This window comes from Homo sapiens, chromosome 3 (assembly GCF_000001405.40).
Source record: "Homo sapiens chromosome 3, GRCh38.p14 Primary Assembly".
Classification (NCBI taxonomy): Eukaryota; Metazoa; Chordata; class Mammalia; order Primates; family Hominidae; genus Homo; species Homo sapiens.
In genome coordinates this window covers 42455667-42475209 of record NC_000003.12, presented here as the reverse complement: position 1 = coordinate 42475209, position 19543 = coordinate 42455667, and the positions used below count along the sequence as shown (strand labels likewise).

General features: G+C 40.0%; 1 long non-coding RNA gene and 1 pseudogene across 1 annotated transcript; one reads left to right on the top strand and one right to left on the bottom strand.

Moving 5' to 3' along the window:
* The first annotated feature begins 1528 nt into the window (after positions 1-1528).
* On the top strand, positions 1529-17800 carry LOC124909371 (uncharacterized). The gene is made up of 2 exons (XR_007095891.1): positions 1529-1616; positions 14930-17800. It is a non-coding gene; the product is annotated as an uncharacterized LOC124909371 (long non-coding RNA).
* Positions 5295-5603, bottom strand: RPL35AP8 (ribosomal protein L35a pseudogene 8; annotated as a pseudogene).
* Positions 17801-19543: the final 1743 nt, after the last annotated feature.

The window sequence follows — 19543 nt, the reverse complement described above, 5'->3', positions numbered from 1 at the left end:
TGTGGGTCAGGGTCAGGGTGTGATCTCAGGTCAGGCATGAGGACAGAGCTCCAGGGACATGCTAGAAAGGGACTGGGATTTTGTTAGATTGATAATGAGAACCAATCAGTTGGTTTTCAGAAACAAGCACAGCCCTTTCCAGGAGCCACAGTGAGCCCAAAGCTATCAAGACCCTGGGTTCTCCTCATGAAATAAGGTAACTACACTGGGGGATGGAGAAAACAGCATGAAGGGGACCCAGAGTTTGTTTCTTATACTCAGCAAAGCCACTCTGCTTATCTGGGGTAAAGGCAGAAATTTCTATTTATTCAGGTGCTACTCAATCCTACTCCTCTTTTTGGCTCAGAGAAAGGAGTGCACAATTCCTGCTGGACCAGGCCTTCATAAATGAAGGCTATGTCCGGGCTTGATCATCACTCCGAATGATGGGATTGCAGGATTTCCCTATGAGAAGGGGGTGGCTGGTCCAGTTTTCCCTGTGGCATGAGAAGAAGCACAGGGTGGGCAGAGCAGTGACCTGTTGGGCAGGGAGCAGAACTGAGTAAGTATTAAGGAGACTCTGGGCCACACCCTGGGCTCTGTTGGGGTGTATACTTGTGCCCATTATATTGTTGAAGAAATTGAGGCTGGGAGAGGCTAAGGGACCTGGGGAAGCTCACATAGTGAATAAGAATGGACTGTTCCCACAGCTCCTATCCTGCCTCCCTCCTGTGCTCTGATGTCACGGTCTTTAGGCCCTGTATGTGTACTTTGCCTTTTTGTACCATATGTGGGAGGTGAGATTTGGCTGGGGGATCTTTGTGGCCCCAGGACTGAGAAGCATAGTCCCCCTCTGGAACTGCAATATATCTTTGTTTTGGGGGAAGGGCTGGAAGTTTCAGACCCTGGTGGTTTGGAGGATGGTTTAACCTCCTAGCCCGTATTCTATGGAGGCAGAGGACAGAGCAGGGTATGTTTTGGGGAGCCAATAGATGACATATGTGTTAGAAACAAGAGACAGTCCCTAAGCTGGACAGTCTGAGAGATTGTCTGCCCATCTCTGAGGAAGCTGAAATCCAAAGAGCTCCAAGCTACACACCACACAGTGTGGGGCTGGGCTGGAGCTTGAGGTTCTTTTCCCACTTTCTTATGATCTCTCTGGAGGTCTGGGAACCCAGGAGCACCCCCACGTCCCTGGCTCCCAAAGAAGGCTCTCCCTGCTGGCTGCTGAAGCCAGGGGAGAGCATGCTCTGGGTAACCCAAGGTCTGGTTAACAGAGAACTGTTGCTTAAGTCATAGATGAATTTAGAGCCCCCACAAAATCCTGCTTCCCTGGAAGATAGCTAAACTCTGTGTAAGTGTCAGGGGCTCCTCAGCACTTGGAATGCCACCATCTGTGCTCTGGTGAGGCATGCAGTGCGGTGACGTGTTGGAGAGGAGCCAGCTTCCGTCTTCCTCTCAGGGTTACAGGCTGGGGTCTGGGTTATCTGCACTGGACAATGGGCACACATTCCATCTTGAAGAACAGATGTCCTGACCAGCACCAGCCACTTCACATGCACGCAAAGCCTGGAGTTGCATAATGGCTTTTCCGTGGAGCCGGAGGGAACTGGCTGGAAGCAGCAGGAGTGATTTAGGTATGTCACAGGAAGAGTTGCTTCTTTTTGCCAAAGACCCATTGGGAAGGGAGGAGAGGCAAACCCACCTTCCCAGGAGCCTAGTTCCCAAGGGCTGGGTGCTCCTTACTGCCAGGGAGGAGTCAACAGCCTCTTTGTCTTCCAGAGTGGGAGAGGGAGTTTGCCAAGGAGGGATGAGCTGCCTTTCAGACGCCTCTAACCAGGCTCCTGGAGGAGGAAACAGGATGAAATGAATCGTCCAGGAACAGGGAGGGTGGAGACTTTGCTTTGAGGGTTGGGGTGGGGATTGGTGACCAGAGCAGTTGTTTGAGAGCACTTCACCCCTGGGCACAGGGTGGTGTGCTGCAGGTTGCAGGGGGCAGGGAACCACGGGCTGTGCCACGCAGCCCTTCCTGGAAGCCCAGTCAGGAGCTACATGGGCTGGGTCCTGATGGGCACAGTGGCTTGCTCCAGGCTGGAGTGAGCAGCCTGTTGAAAGCCAGGGCAGGTGAATCCTAAGCCAAGATTCCTGCCTCCTACACCATTGCAGGGCTCTCCTGAAACCAGAAGGATAGGTTGAGTCCTGGCTCTGTGGTGATCTTGACCATGCCATTAATTCAGCCTCTGCCCCTTCTGGACCTCAGTGTTGTCACCCGTGGAATGAAGGTGTTTAAGGGAAGGAGGAGAGAGGGAGGGCAGGGGGAAAAGAGAAGGGAGGTGGGTGATGAGTCTGCTCAGAAGAACCCAAATCCCTCCAGATATTTGTTGGTTCTGGTCTTTTGCCTGTTGGCCGTTTGGAGTGGGAGGGCATACCCTTGCTTGTTAATGGAGTGTATCTGTTTTGGGACCCAGGGCTCTGAGTTGAGCATGTGGGGGAAGGGGTGGTGGGTGGAGGGTGACTGAAAGCAGGGCTGAAGGCTGCCCTGGAGCCATCACTATCATCTCTGCCTGAATGTCTGACTTCAACCACCTCAAGGGCAATTTTGCAATGAATTCCCAGGCACATAGCCTCAAGTGTCCAAATGTAGACACTTTAAGAGAGTACCGGGACATGCTTTAAATTATGTATATTACACAAATATTTACATATTCATTAACAAACTATTTTATTTTATTGGTGGGCTTATGCAACATTTTCAATTAAGAATTCGAGCTGGGTACGGCAGCTCACACCTGTAATTCCAGCAGTTTTGGAGGCTGAGTTCGGGAAATTGCTTGACGCCAGGAGTTCAAGACTAGCCTGGGCAATATGGCAAGATCCTGTCTCTGCAAAAAAAATTTTTTAAAAATTAGCCAGGCACAGTGGCACACACCTGTAGTTGTAGATACTTAGGAGGCTGAGGTAGGAGGATCCCTGAGGCTGCAGTGAGCTATGATTGCACCACTGCACTCTAGCCTAGGCAGCAGAGCAAGATCCTATAAAAAAAATTGTTTCAAATATAAAATTCTTCCTAATTCATAATAGTAACATATAACCATGTACACTAAAACAAAAACCATTATGTGGATTATTCGGACATTAAAAATAGCATAAGCAGGCCGGGCATCCTGTCTCATGCCTGTAATCCCAGCACTTTTGGGAGGCTGAGGCGGGCAGATAGCTTGAGACCAGCCTGGGCAACATGGTGAAACCCCACCTCTACAAAAAATACAATAATTAGTTGGGTGTGGTGGTGCATTCCTGTAGTTCCAGCTACTTGGGGGGGCTAAGGTGGGAGGATTGATGCTTGCTTTCCGGACATGAAGGCTGCAGTGAGCCAGGACTGTCCCATTACTGGTAATACTAACTTTGATCACTTGGCTAAGGTAGTATCTCCCAGATTTTTTCACTTTAAAATTATCTTTTCTTCCCTTTGTTATTTGCGGGGGGTTTTTGGTTTATTTTTCGTTTTTTCAAGGAAGGGTCTTACTCCGTTGCCCAGGCTGTTCCTATTGGAAATGACACAACTGTCATTTCCAGCTGTAATGTCATTACACAACTGTAATCCCAGCACTTAGGGAGGCCGAGGTGTGTGGATCATGAAGTCAAGAGATCGAGACCATCCTGGCCAGCATTGTGAAACCCCGTCTCTATTAAAAATACAAAAATTAGCTGGGCATGGTGGCGCACACTTGTAGTCCCAGCTACTCAGGAGGCTGAGGCAGGAGAATCGCTTGAACCCGGGAGATGGAGGTTGCAGTGAGCTGAGATCACGCCACTGCACTCCAGCCTGGGTGACAGTGTGAGACTCTGTCTCAAAAAAAAAAAAAAATGTGGTTGATTTTTGTTCGTTGATCTTGTGTTCTGCTACTTTGCTAGACTCACTTCTTATTTGGAGGATTTTTTAAAAAGATTGCTTGTGATTTTCTACATAGACAGTTGTATCATTTCTGATAGAAACAGTTTTATTTTTTCCTTCTCAATCTATTTATTTTTCTTCTTTTATTGCAGGGGTTAGAAATTCTAGTACTATATATATATATGTGTGTGTATATATATGTATATATATGTGTATATATATGTATATATGTGTATATATGTATATATATGTGTATATATATATGTGTGTATATATGTATATATATGTGTATATATATATGTGTATATATGTATATATATGTGTATATATATGTGTGTGTATATATATATATATATATTTTTTTTTTTTTTTTTTTTTTTTTTTTGAGACAGAGTCTCACTCTGTCACCCAGGCTGGAGTGCAATGGTGCAGTCCACTGTAATCCTAGCACTTTGGGAGCCTGAGGCAGGCAGATCGCTTGAGACCAGCCTGGGCAACATTTTATTTATTTTTCTTCTTTTATTGCAGTGGTTAGAAATTCTAGTACTCTCTCTCTCTATATATATATATATTACGTGGTGTTTATGTGGTGAATTACACTGATTGTTCTTTAAATATTGAATCAGTCTTGTATACTTAGAATAAATCATACTTGGTCTTGTTGCATAATTATTTTTATACATTTCTAGACTGAGTTTACTAATTTTTGTTGAGGATTTTGGTGTCTAAGTTCATGGGAGATATTGGTTTGTAGTTTTCTTTTCTTGCAATATTGCAGTCTGGTTTTTTATTATTTTTTTATTTTTTTTTATTTTTGAGACAGAGTCTTGCTCTGTCTCCCAGGCTGGAGTGCAGTGAAACGATCTCAACTCACTGCAACCTCTGCCTCCTGGGTTCAAGCAATTCTCCTGCCTCAGCTGGGATTACAGATGTGCCAGTAGCTGGGATTACAGATATGCACCATTATGCCTGGCTAATTCTTGTATTTTTAGTAGAGACAGGGTTTTGCCGTGTTGGACAGGCTGGTCTCGAATTCTTGGTCTTATGTGATCTGCCTGCCTCAGCCTCCCAAAGTGCTGGGATTATAGGCGTGAGCCACTGTGCCCAGCCTGCTGTCTGGTTTTTATATCAGGGTAATACCAGTCTCATAAAGTGAGTTGGAAAGTATTCCTTCCCCTTCTATTATTCTGGAGGATGTTGTGTAAAGTTGGTGTTAAGTTAAAAAAAAAAATTTGGTAGAATTCTCCACTGAAACTACCTGAGCCTGGATATTTCTTTTTTAGGAGTTTTAAAATTACGAATTCAATTTCTTCAGTGGTTATAGGACTATTCAGATTACCCATTACATCTTGGTTAAATTTTAGTAGTTTGTGATTTTGGAGGAATTGGTCCATTTCTTCAAGGGAGTAAATTTTTTTTTAAATCCACGTTTATTTATTGACTTTTCATTAGTTCAAATCCTTGAGGGGTACAGCATCACTCAGATTCCGTGTCCAATAGTCTTAGCAGGAAGATCGCTTTGGAATTTGGCATGAACCATGCCACTGTTTCCGTGGGCCTTTTTGCCCAAATAGAATTCTGTTTCATCTCAGGCATAAACACCTTCAATTTTAAGAAGAGCTGTGTGCTCCCTTTGGTTCTGGAGACCCCGTTTATAGCCAGCAAAAATGGCCTTGGACCACAGTCTTCCAGACATATTTCCTTTTATAAGTCCTGTTACCAGCAGGCCTCCACAGGAGCCAAGATGGGGGGAAGAGCAAGGGAGTCAAATTTATCAGCATAAAATTGTAGTATTTCATTTATGACACTGGTGATTTGTGTTTTCTCTTTTTATCTTTGTGAGTCTTGTTAGGGGCTTATCATCTTTTTTAAATTTTTCAAACAAGCAGGCTGTTTCATTGATTTTTCTCTATTATTTTTTAATTTTTAATTTCACTGATTTATAATCTTATCTTTATTATTTCCTCCCTTCTGCCTGCTTTGGGTTTATTTTTCTTTTCTTTTTCTAAAGTTTCTTCAGATGGGTGCTTACATTATTGATTCGAGACTTTTTCTCTTTTCTAATGTGAGCCTTTAGTATTATACTTCCCTCTCAACCATTTAGCTGCACCTCACATATTTTGATATGTTATATTTTCATTTTAATTTAGTTCTATACATATATATGTGTGTGTATATATGTGTATCTCTGTGTGTGTAAACATATGTATGTATGTATGTGTGTGTGTGTGTGTGTGTGTGTGTGTGTGTGTGTATATGTATTTTTTTTTTTTTTAAGACAGGGTCTCACTCTATCACCCAGGCTGGAGTACAGTGGTACAATCTTGGCTCACTGCAACTTGCACCTCCTGGGCTCAAGTGATCCTCCCACCTCAGCCTCCTGATTAGCTGGGACTACAGGCATGTGCCACCACACCTGGTTAATTTTTGTACCTTTTTTTTACATGCAGCCCAGGATGGCTTTGAATGCGGCCTAATACAGATTCATAAACTTTCTTAAAACATTATGAGATTTTCTTGTGATTTTTTTTTTTTACCTCATCAGCTATCATTAGTGTTAGTGTATTTTGTGTGTGGTCCAAGACAATTATTCTTCTTCCAACGTGGCCCAGGGAAGCCAAAAAATTAGACACCCCTGGATATGGTCTGTCTTGGTGCGTGTACCATGAATACTTACAAATAATGCATATTCTGCTCTTGTTAGGTGGAGTGTTCTATATATGTCAGTTTGATTCTTTTGGTTGGTTGTGTGGTTCAGTTCTTTTATATTCTTGCTAACTTTTTTTCCTAGTAGTTCTAACAAATGCTGAGAGTGGGGTGCTAAAGTTCTCAACTCTAATTGTGGGTTTTCAATTTCTCCTTTCAGATCACTCGTGTATTTTGAGGCTCTGTTATTTGGTATTTACACATTGAACATTGCCATATCTTTCTGGTGGATTGATTCTTTTATCATTATGTAATGGCCTTCTTTGCATCTAGTAATTTTCTTTGCTTTGAAGTCTACCTTATCTGACATTAATATACCTTTTATTGGGCTCAAAGTTTGCACGGTGTATTTTTTCCACCTTTATACTTTCAACGTACCTGTGTCTTTATATTTGAAATGAATTTCTTGTAGGCAGTATATTGTATCATCTTTAAAATCTACTGTGCCAATATCTGTTGTTTTATTGGTATATTTATATTCATTGATGATTTGCCATTTTCTGTTTGTTTAATCTACTTATCTGTATTAGTTCATTCTCACACTACTATAAAGAACTACCTGAGATTGGGTAATTTATGAAGAAAAGAGGTTTAATTGACTCACAGTTCCACAGGCTGTACAGGAAGAATGGCTGGGATGCTTCAGGAAACTTACAATCATGGCAGAAGGTGAAGGGGAAGCGAGCACATCTTACCACAGTGGAGTAGGAGAGAGAGAGTGAAGGGGAAGTGCTACACACTCTTAAACAACCAGATCTCAGGAGAACTCAATCACTATCATGAGAACAGTAAGGGGGAAATCCACCCCCATGATCTAATCACCTCCCATCAGACCCCTCTCCCAATATTGGGAATTACAAAATTTGAGATGAGATTTGGGTAGGGACACAGAGCCAAACCATATCATTCTCATTCTGTATTTCTCTTTTCTTTTTGTTTATTTGTATAAATTTATGGGGTATAAGTGCAATTTTGTTACATGCATAGATTGCATAGTGGTCAAGTCAGGGCTTTTAGGGTAGCCATAACTCAAATAACATACATTGCACCCATTAAGTAATTTCTCATCATCTATCGCTCTCCTACTCCTTCACCCTTCTGAGTCTCCATTATCTATCATTCTCCTCTCTACATCCATATATACACATATTTAGCTCCCACTGCTGAGTGAAAATCTTCAATATTTGTTTTTCTATGTCTGACTTGTTTCACTTAAGATAATGACCGCCAGTTCCATCCATGTTACTGCAAAAGACATGGTTTTATTCTTTTTTTAATGGTGAATGGTATTCTGTTGTATATATACACCACATTTTCTTTATCCAATTATCTGTTGATGGATATTTAGGTTGATTCCATACTTTGCTATTGTGAATAGTGCTGCAATAAATATATGAGTGTAGGTATCTTTTTGATGTATTGATTTGTATTTTTTTCTTTTTGAGACAGGATCTTGCTCTGTTGCCCAGGCGGGAGTATGGTGGCTTGATCATAGCTCACTGCAGCCTCGACCTCCCAGGCTCAAGAGATCCTCCTGCCTCAGCCTTCCAAGTAGCTGGGACTACAGGTGCACACCACCATGCCTGGCAAATTTTTTAATCTTTATTTTTAGTAGAGACAAGGTCTAACTATGTTGGTCTCAAACTCCTGGGCTCAAGCAATCCTCCCACTTTGGCCTCCCAAAGTGCTAACATTATAGGCATGAGTCACTGTGCAGGCCTGATGGGTTGATTTCTTTTCCTTTGGGTAGATACCCAGTAGTGGGATTGCTGGATCAGATGGTAGTTCTATTTTTAGTTCTTTGAGCACTCTCTGCACTGTTTTCCACAGAGATTGTACTAATTTTCATTCCCACCAACAGCATATAAGAGTTCCCTTTTCTCTGCATCCTTGACAACATCTGTTATTTTTTGACTTTTTAATAATAGTGATTCTGACTGAGGTAAGGTGATAGCCCATTGTGGTTTTAATTTGTATTTCTCTGATGTTTAGTGATGTTGAGTATTTTTTCACATACCTGCTGGCCATTTGTATTCTTCTTTTAAAAAATGACTATTCATGGGGCTGGGCACGGTGGCTCATGCCTGTAATCCCAGCACTTTGGGAGGCTGAGGCAGGCAAATCACGGGGTCAGGAGATCGAGACCATCCTGACTAACATGGTGAAACCCCATCTCTACTAAAAATACAAAAAATTAGCTGGGCATGGTGGCGGACGCCTGTAGTCCCAGCTACTCGGGAGGCTGAGGCAGGAGAACAGCATGAACCTGGGAGGCGGAGCTTGCAGTGAGCTGAGATCGCACCACTGCACTCCAGCCTGGGTGACAGAGCGAGACTATCTCAAAAAATATATATATATACTATTCATATCCTTTGCACACTTTTGGGGGGTACACAGTAGGTGTATATATTTATGGGATACATGAGATGTTTTGATACAGGCATACAATGCATAATAATCATATCATATAAAATGGGATACCCATTCCCTTAAGCATTTATCTTTTGTGTTATAAACAATCCACTTATACTCTTTTAGTTATTTTAAAATGTACAATTATTATTGACTATAGTCACCCTGTTACACTATCAAACACTAGGCCTTATTCATTCTTTCTAACTACTATTTTTGTACCCATTAACCATTCCCCACATCTCCTCCCTACCCTCCACTATTCTTCCCAACCTCTGGTAACCATCCTTCTGCTCTCTATCTCAATGAGTTCAATTGTTTTATTTTTAGATCCCACAAATAAGTGAGAACATGCAAAGTTTGTCTTTCTTGGCTTGGCTTATTTCACTTAGCATAATGACCCTCAGTTCTATCCATGTTGTCGCAAATGACAGGATCTCATTCTTTTTTATGGCTGAATAGTACTCCATTGTATATAAGTACCACATTTTCTTTATCCATTCATCTGTTTATGGACATTTTGGTTGCTTCTGAATCTTGGCTATTGTGAACAGAGCTGCAACAAACATGGGAGTGCAGATATCTCTCTGATATACTGATTTCCTTTCTATTGGGTATATACCCAGCAGTGAGATTGCTGGATCATATGGTATTTTTATTTGTAGTTTTTTGTGGAACCTCCAAACTGTTCTCCATAGTGGTTGTGCTAATTTACATTCCTACCAACAGTGTATGAGAGATTTGTGCACCTTTAAATTTTTTTTTTTTTTTTGAGACAGTTTTGCTCTGTTGCCCAGGCTGGAGTACAGTGGCGTGATCTCAACTCACTGTGACCTCCGCCTGCTAGGTTCAAGCAATTCTCATGCTTCAGCCTCCCAAGAAGCTAGGATTACAGGCATGCACCACCACATCCAGCTAATTTTTATATTTTTTAGTAGAGACAGGGTTTCACCATGTTGGCCATACTGGTATTGAACTCCTGGCCTCAAGCAATCCACTTGCTCTGGCCTCCCAACGTGCTGGGATTACAGGCATGAGCCACTGCTCCCGGCCAAAAACTTTTTTTTTTTTTTTTGAGACAAGATCTCGCTCTGTCCCTGAGACTGGAGCATAGTGGCATGATCACGGCTCACTGCAGCCTTAACCTCCTGAGCTCAAGCAATCCTGTCTCAGCCTCTGAAGTAACTGGGACTACAAGCACATGCCACCATGCTCAGCTCATTTTTAAATTTTTTGTTGAGATAGGGTCTCACTATGTTTCCTAGGCTGGTATCAAACTCCTGAGCTCAAGCAATCCTTCTGCCTCAGGCTCCCAAGTAGCTAAGACTAAAGGAGTGCATCACCACACCTGGCTGTGTATTATCTTTTTGATGTGCTATTGGATTCAGTTGGCTAGTATTTTCTTGAGGACTTTTACATCTATGCTCATTAGGGATATTGATCTGTGTAGTTTTCTTTTTTGTTGTTTTTGTTGTGTCCTTGTCTGGATTTGGTATCACGGTGATGCTGGCCTCATACAATGAGTTAGGAAGAACTCCCTCCTCCGTTTTTGGGAATAGTTTCTAGAGGATTGATATTAGTTCTTTGTACGTTTGGTAGAATTTGGCTGTTAATCCATCTGGTCCTGGGCTTTTCTTTATGGGAAGATTTTTAAAATTACTGATTCAATCTTGTTATTGGTCTGTTCAAGGTTTCTATTTCTCCTAGTTCAATCAGGAAGATTGTATGTTTCCAGGAATTTATCCGTATCCTATAGATTTTCTAGTTAGTGAGCATATAGTTGTTCATAATAGTCTGTGATCTTTTGTGTTTCTGTGGTATCGGTTGTAATATTTCCTTTTTCAGTTCTGATCTTATTTATTTGGATTTTTTCTCTTCTTTTCTTTTTCTTCATTAGTCTGGCTGGCAGTTTATTAATTTTGTTTATCTTTCGAAGAACCAACTTTTTTTTTTTTTAAATAGAGATGGGGTTTTGCTATATTGGCCAGGCTGGTCTCTCAAACTCTTGGCCTTAAGCAATCCTCTTTCCTCGGCCTTCTAAAGTTCTAAGATTACAGGCATGTGCTACCATGCCCAGCCCAAAGTCTTCTTATGCTTATGTTGTTTTGTGTCCAGAGATTTTTAGTTGTAAGAGAGAGGACCAAGGAGAATGGGACAATTCATTTGGGTGGAACTGGAAAACTGTATAGTTGTTTTAAAATGAAGCATTATTAGTGTAAACAAGTCTCAAACACTCTTCTCCAAAGTAACTTATTGCTTGGTAAAATAATCTGTGAGGCACTTAAACATTACCTGAGCAAAATCTGAAAAGCACGCATTCCTCTCAGCAGATTCATCTCTGGTGACACGAATCTTAGTAGAATATGCAAAAATGAGCTAAGTATCACACATAACTCTAAAAAGGAACTTCTTATTTTGAGTTAGACAAAAGATGAATCCATGCAGTATTTGTGAAAACTAGATCCAAGTCACAGTGTTCTTAAAAGTTACTATTGTAAATTAAAGCAGATTAAAACAAATCCAAACAGTATTTGTCCAAATTAAGATGAATCTAACCAGTTTTTGGTATCAGGATCTTGAACCTGGACCTTGGAACTGGACCTAGACCTTGGGCATTGTCCTAGTCCTTATGAATCTTGGATCTAGATTCAAATATTTTCTTTGGACTTAGAAATTGGATCAGTATCTTTAATTTTGAAGCTGGATCTTGGACCTATACCTCTGATCTGATCATGACCTGAATTTGGTTCTGTGCCTTGAAACTGGACATGAGCTCTTGACTTGTCCTTGGACTTCAATCTCTAAACTCTAAGTTGAACCTCAGACCTAAACATCAGACCTAAACCCGGGCATGACTATCAATATGGATGTTGGACCTGGACTTTGTACCTCTGCAATGGACCCTGACTTTGGATCAGTAACCAAGTCCTGGACCTGAACTTTGTACTGGAAATATGGACCTGGACTTTGTGCTGGAAATATGTCTCAGACCTAGACATTGGTCTTATGCCAGCATCTTGAATCAGGACCTGATTGTTGGATCTGAATCTTGTGTCTGGACTTCAGACTTTGAACTGGTCACAAACCTTAGGCCTTGGCCTAGACTATTTACATGGATTTAGATCTTGGACTGAACATAAGATCTCAACTTAGATTTGAATTTTTCCATGAGCTGGGACTTGATTTTAGATCTCATTCTTGGTCATGAACCTGGATTTGGGACTTGAATCTTGGGCATTGACATTTGACCTTGGGATCTTTGAGCTCAGACCTGGAGGACCTGAACATGATCTTGCTTAAAACTTGGTGCTAAAACTTGATCCTCAACCAAGACTGTGGGCCTGAGCCTTGGACCTGGACTTAGACCCTGACTTTGATCTGGTCTCAGATGTTGAACGAACTTGGATTTATAATGTGGATTTGAACTGGACCTGGGTCTTAGATTAAGACTGGGAACCTAGAGCTGTATTTTGGATCTTAGATCTGGACTTCTAAACTTGGATTTGGACCTCAGATCTGGAATTCTGACCTGGACCTGGAACTGACTTAGGATATGAATTTTGAATCTGGAATTTTAGTCATGGATTTTTTCATATCCTTGGATTTGCCAGTAGACCTGGATCTTGGACCTGAGTCTAGATCTAATATTTACATATTAAGTTAAACCTAGACCAGGACCTGAGGTTTAGACCTTGTCCTTGCCCTTCTACAGTAAACCTGCGTTTGGATCTGGACCTCAGATGTGGAACTGGACTTGGATCTTGGAAATCAGTCTTGGGCCTTGACCAGAACCTCAGACCTGAACCTTGAACCTTGGCTTTGAACTTAGACCTTGGATCTAAAGTTTGGACCTTGACCTCAGACTTTGACATTTATTTGCTTCTTTGTCCTGAACTTATACCTGGAAATTAGACCTGAATATAGACCTTTGGCCTGGATCTTTGACCTTGTTTTGATCTAGACATTGGACCTGAGCTTAAACATGGAAATTGGACTTGCACATGGATGATGGGCCTGTACATGTATCTGGGCCTTCTACCAGGACATGAACCTTGACCTGCATTGAGCTTGCATTTGAATGTGGACCTCCAACTTGGAACTGGACTTGGGATTAGGACTTCAAAGTCAACCTGGAAACTTGGACCCAAACTCAGCTCTGGACCTTAGAATAGGACCTTGACCAGAACCTGACATGGCTCTGGATATGGCTATGAGAACTTTGATGTGGACCTTGGACTTGGACCTCACACCTAGAACTTCAAACTGGATCTAGACTGTGAGCCAGGACTTTGAACTTTGGATTTGGCTTTGCATTGGACGTTAGACCAGACCTTATACACGAGAAATTGGACATGGATCTAGACCTTTTATTTTGACTTTGGACCATGATTTTGATGTTGGAACTAAAGTTTTAACTTTGATTCTGATTCTGAACTTGTTTTCTTTCTTATTGAGCAAGTACACCTGATTTTATTTAATTTTCAGCAAGAACATACTTTTGAGAAGAATGTACAAGACTGGGCTTGTTTATATATTTGGGGAAACTGCTTGTTTTCACACTTATCTGATTCATCTTAATTGGCTCTAACTTGAATAAGAAAGTACTTTTGATAATAATAGTATGTGATAATAGACCTTTTCACACAAATATTGTTTAGATTCACTTTAACTCACTCTAACTTGCAATAGGAACTTTTGTGAACTCTATGTGAGTCTTAGCTGATTTTCACAAATGCTGCTAGAATTCAACAGTGTAATTGAGAGGAATGACTTTTTTTTTAATTTTAGATATTTTGCTTATAAATGCTTATGTTCATTATAATTTCTTCTACAAAGCAATAGGGAGGTCCATGTTTTGAGGTCTAGGTTCAAGGTCCAAAATCCATTTCTAAAGTCCAAAACCTAGATTCAGTACCCTGGATCCAATGGTCTAGATCCACATCCAAAGTTCAGGTTCCAGGCCCAAGATCAGGTCTAATATGAGTTCAAAGAAAGGTCCAAGATCCAGGTCCAAAATTCTTACCCAGGTTTGAGGGCCAGGTGTAAGTTCTAGGTGCAATGTCCAGGTCCAATGCCAAAGTCTAGGTCCAGGTCCAAAATTCATTTTCATGGTCTAAGTTAAGAGCAAAGTTTCATGCCTTAGGTTGGGTCCTATGTGCATTTCAAAGCAAGGTCCAAGATCCAGATCCAAGATTCATATTCAGGCCTGAGATCCAGGTTTAAGGTCCAGTTTTTAAAGTCCAGGTCCATGGTCAGGTCCAATGATCTGGCCAAATCCCAGTCTAAGGTGAAAGTATAAAGTCCAGATATCAAGGACAAGTCTATGTCTGAGGTTCAGGTCAAGATCTATAGTACAGGTTCAAATTCCAAGTCAATTGTTTCAGGTCTAATACCCAGGTGTAGGTCTAAAGTCAGGTTTGAGGTCCTGGATAAATCTAAGCATAGCTTAAGTTCCAACATCCAAGTCAAGTGTCATGGTGGTTGGAGATTTTATGTTCACTTCCAAGGCCTTCATTCAAGGTCAGTTCAGGTTTATGTCCGAGGTCCAGATCTGATGCCATAGTCCAATTTCTAGGTAAAAGTTCCACAGTTTATCCTTGGGGTCCAGGTTCAAGGTTTATGTCTGAGGTCCATATCCAAGATTTAAAGTCCAGGACCATATCCTAATTCTAGTTTCAAAGTTTTATTTGAAGGTTCAAGACTAGTATGTAGATAGTCATCTATTTTATCATTTACTACGATAAAATATACACAAATCTATTATAAAAAGTTAAAATTTATTAAAACTTACACACACAGACTGCACATGTTGCTATTCACAGTCAGGATAAATTCAAAAGTAAAGATGCAATATTAAATCATAACTGCATAAAATTAACCATGATACATACTGTATTACTGTAGTAATCTCGTAACCACCTCCTGTTGCTGTTGCAGTGACCTCAAGTGTTGTAAGGATCTGCTTAAAACACTGTGTGATGCTAAGCACCTTCACATGAAGAATCCAACCCTCCAGCAAATTGCATTTTGCAGTAAAAAGTGATCTCCTGCAGTTCTCCTGTATTTTTCATCATGGTTAGTGCAACATTATAAACTTTGAATAACACCATGGGACACATACAAAGTACCACTAATGACGCTGGAAGTGCTCCTAAAAAGCAGAGAAAAGGCATGACATTACAAGAAAAAGTTGAATTGAAAAAGTCGAAAAATATGCACCATGGATTGAGGTCTGCAGCTCTGGCTGCCCACCATTTTAAAATTAATGAATCCAGTGTAAGGACTATTGTAAAAATAGTGAAGTCATCGTGCCAGCTGTGCCAACAGGTGTGAAAACCTTGGACTTACTGTGAAACAGGTTGTTATCTCATGTTGAAAATGCAGCTCTTGTGTGGGTGCAGGATTGCTATAAAAAGGCATATCCTATAAACTCTAATATGATTCAAGAAAAAACCAAGTCATTATATGACAACTTAAAGCAAAAGGAAGGATCTAAAGCCTGAGAATTTAATGGCAAAAAAGGATGATTTGATAATTTTAGAAAGTGATTTGGCCTTTAAAATGTCAAAATAACAGGAATAGCAGCTTTTGCCAACTTAGAGGCAGCAGAGAACTTCCCAGGCACCATCACGAAAAGCACTGAGGAGAAAGGATATCTGCCTGAATAGGTTTTTATGCAGATGAAAGTACTCTATTCTGTAAAAACAAAAAAAAATGCCACAAAGGGCATTTATTAGTAAGAAAGAGAAGTGGGCACCAGGATTTAGGGCAGGAAGGGATAGGCTAATGCTACTGTTTTGTGCAAATGCAATCAGGTTTATGATTAGGAGTGCTCTTATCTGTAAAGCTGCTAACCCTAGAGCCTTGAAGGGAAGAGATAAACTCCAACTGCCAGTCTTTTGGTTGTACAACAAGAAGGCCTGGACAATGAGAACACTTTTTCTGGATTGATTCCATTGATGCTTTGTCCCTGAAAGTCAGGAAGTTCCTTGCCATTAAGAGACTGCATTTTAAAGTTATTTCACTATCAGACAATGCTCCTTGGCCACCTCTGGGTGAACCCATGAGTTCAACACTGAAGATGTCCAAGTGGTCTACTTGCCCCCAACACAACGTCTCTAATTCAGCTTCTAGATGAGACAAGCATAAGGACAACTAAGTTGCATTACATATAGTATTCTATGGGAAGGATTGTCAATGCTATGGAAGAGAACCTCAAGAAAATCTGGACGGATTAATTACACCATTGAAAATGTCATTGTTGTCATAGTAAAAGCTGTGAAATCTATCAAGCCCAAAACAATAAATTCCTGCTAGAGAAATCTGTGTCCATATGTGCAAGATTTCACAGAATTTATGACAGAGCCAATCAAGGAAATCATAAAAGAGATTGTGGATATGGCAAGAAGGTAGAGGATGAAGAGTTTAGAGATATGGCTGTTGGAGAAATTCAAGAGCTGACAGACACTACACTAGAGGAATTAACAGAAGACGACTAATGAAGATGAATGCTTCTGAACCAGTGTCAGATGATGAGGAAGAAGACATAGAAGAAGCAGTGCCAGAAAACAAATTGACAATAGATGATCTGGCAGAAGGATTTTGATTAAACAAGATGGCATTTGACTTATTTGATGACATAGACCCTTCTATGATGGGGCACTGAAACCAAAGCAAATGATGGAAGAAGAATTGATACTATATAGAAACATCTTTAGAGAAATGAAAAAGCAAAAATGTCAGACAGAAATTATGATGTATTTCCACAAAGTTACACCAAGTGTGCTTGTCTCCACTGTCTCCCCTTCCACCTCCTCCTCCCCTGCTTCCCTGAGACAGCAAGACCAACCTCTTCTCTTCCTCCTCCTTAGCCTACTCAACCTGAAGATGACAAGGATGAAGATCTTCCTGATGATCCACTTCCACTTAATGAATATCAAATATATTTTCTCTTCCTTATGATTTTCTTAATAACATTTTTCTGTAGCTTACTGTATTATAAAAATACAGTATATAATACATATACAGAATATGTGTTAATCAACTGTTTATGTTATTGGTAAGTCTTCCAGTCAATAGTAGGCTATTAGTAGTTAAGTTTTGGGGAAGTCAAAAGTTATATATGGAGTTTCAACTATGCAAGTGGTTAACGTCTCTAACCTCCATATTGTTCAAGGGTCAACTGTATGCCCCTCCAAAGAAGGCTTAACCTAGTGTTTCATCAGTAACTGTATCCCTTCAAAATCCTGGATCTCTGCATGATGGATGTTTGTTCTTGTAGTTCTGTCATTATTTTGTTTCAATATTCCACAACCTAAGGTCTGAATTGTAGGATTATCTACAACCATCAGACTCCATACAACAGTGATGTAAAGGAAGAGGGGATGAGGAAAATAAATTAAATTGTATCATTATATATTAATACATGGCCCCTTAGGAAGAAAATGTGGTAGGTTCAGTGTCTGTTTCTGTAATGGCCATAGTTTTCACTTATGGATTTCTTCTTCTAGCACCCATTCCATGTTCTTATGGCCTTAACCAGCCTTTTATATGGATTTTGACTCGTTGGGTAGTCCAGCCTTCATCCTGAGGGAGTTGAACCCTTATTGCCTTGCTTGTATAGAGTTACTGTAGTCTTCTCTGAACTTTTACACTGTACGTGGTGGCCCTGAAGGGTCCGTAGGAATTACCTGGGTTCTAGGAATAGCCTCTTCCCCCATTGTGCAGCATAAACCTTATTTACTATATTACATTATTTACCATGTTTCCACTGATTTTGTTAAATAAATGCTTCTCAATTTGTTGTAAGCCCTTTGGCCACTCTTCAGAGACTTTGAATGATTATATTTGCTAATCTTGACCAATCTAATGGATGTTTCTCTGTGGGAGTGGTTTTCCAAGTTCCTCAGACTGGCATTCTATTGTAAGGTTCTATACTGCATGCAAAGTGGTATAATATCACCAGAAATTATTCTGTGATAAATTAAATATATATAAACCACAAATCATACATAAAGTAACACAACAATGAGCTAACCAAGGAGATAACTATCGAACCATAAAAACGCTTAATCTAAAAATGTAGAAAAAGAAGAAAAGAGTCACAAGGCACAGATGAAACAAATAGAAGCCCAACTATATAATCACATTAAATGTAAATTATCTAAGCAGCTCAACTAGAAGGCAGAGATTGCCAAACTGGATTAATTAAAAAAAATCTGCCTACAAAAGACTTCTTTAAATGTAAAGACAAAAATAGGTTTAAAGTTAAAAGATGGAAAAAGATACACCATGCTAAATAATTGAAGTAATATCAGATGAATTTGAGTTCAGAGCAAAGACTAATAACAGGGATAAGGAAGATCTTTTTTTATGACAAAGAGGTCAAATGATCCTAAGAATTTATACTCCTAATAATAGAGCTTCAAAATGCATGAAGCAAAAACTGAGAGAACTGCAAAGAGAAATAGACAAATCCACAACGATAGAGATTGTAACTGTATTAGTTTTCTATTGCTGCAGAAACAAATCGCCACAAACTTAGTGGCTTGAAAAAACGTATATTTACTGATCTTATAACGTTCTTTAAGTCAGAAGTATGATACAGGTCTCTCTGGGTTAAAATGAAAGTTTTCTGGACCTCATTACCTTCTGGAGACTCTGGGGGAGAATTTATTTCCTTGTCTTTCCCAGTTTATAGAGGCCATTAGTATTCCTTGGCTCATGCTCCCCCTCCTCCATCTTCAAAGCCAGCAATGTTGCATTTCTCTGACCTTTTCCTCTGACCACATCTGAGAAGGGCTCTTCTCAGAGCTCATGTGATTACACTGGGCCCACCTGGACAATCCAGGATAATCTCCCTATCTCAAGGTCTGTAACCTTAATGACATCTGCAAAGTCACTTTTGCCATGTAAAGTAATACATTCAAAAGTTCTGGGAAGCAGGGCATGGGCATGTTTGGAGCCTACTATTCTGTCTATCACAGCATCCTTCTCTCAATAAAAGAAATTAACAGGGATATAGAAGACTTGAAAAACATTGTCAAACAACTTGATGTAATTCATATTAATAGGGCATTCCACCCCCCAAACAGTAGAAATACATATTTCTTACTAGTGCACATGGAATATTTACCAAGATCTACCACACTCTGCTATAAAACAAGTCCAGACAAATTCAGAATAATTTAAATCATACAAAGTATATTCTTTGACCACATTGGAATTAAATTTAAAATAAATAACAAAAAGGTGTCTTAAAAATACCAAATATTTGGAACCTAAATAGAACATGGGAAAAGAAGAAATCATAAAGAAAATTATAATATAGTTAGAACTAAATGAAAATGAAAGCACAATATATCAAAGTGTGTCAGATACAGCTAACGCAGTATTTAGGGAGAAATTTATATCACTAAAACACCTAAATTCATTAATTTGAAAGTCTCCAGTTAATTACTTGAGATATCACATTAATAACCTAAAAGAAGAAGGAAAAAATTAAACTTTAAGCAGAAAAAAAGAAAATAATAAATATCAGAGAAGAAACAA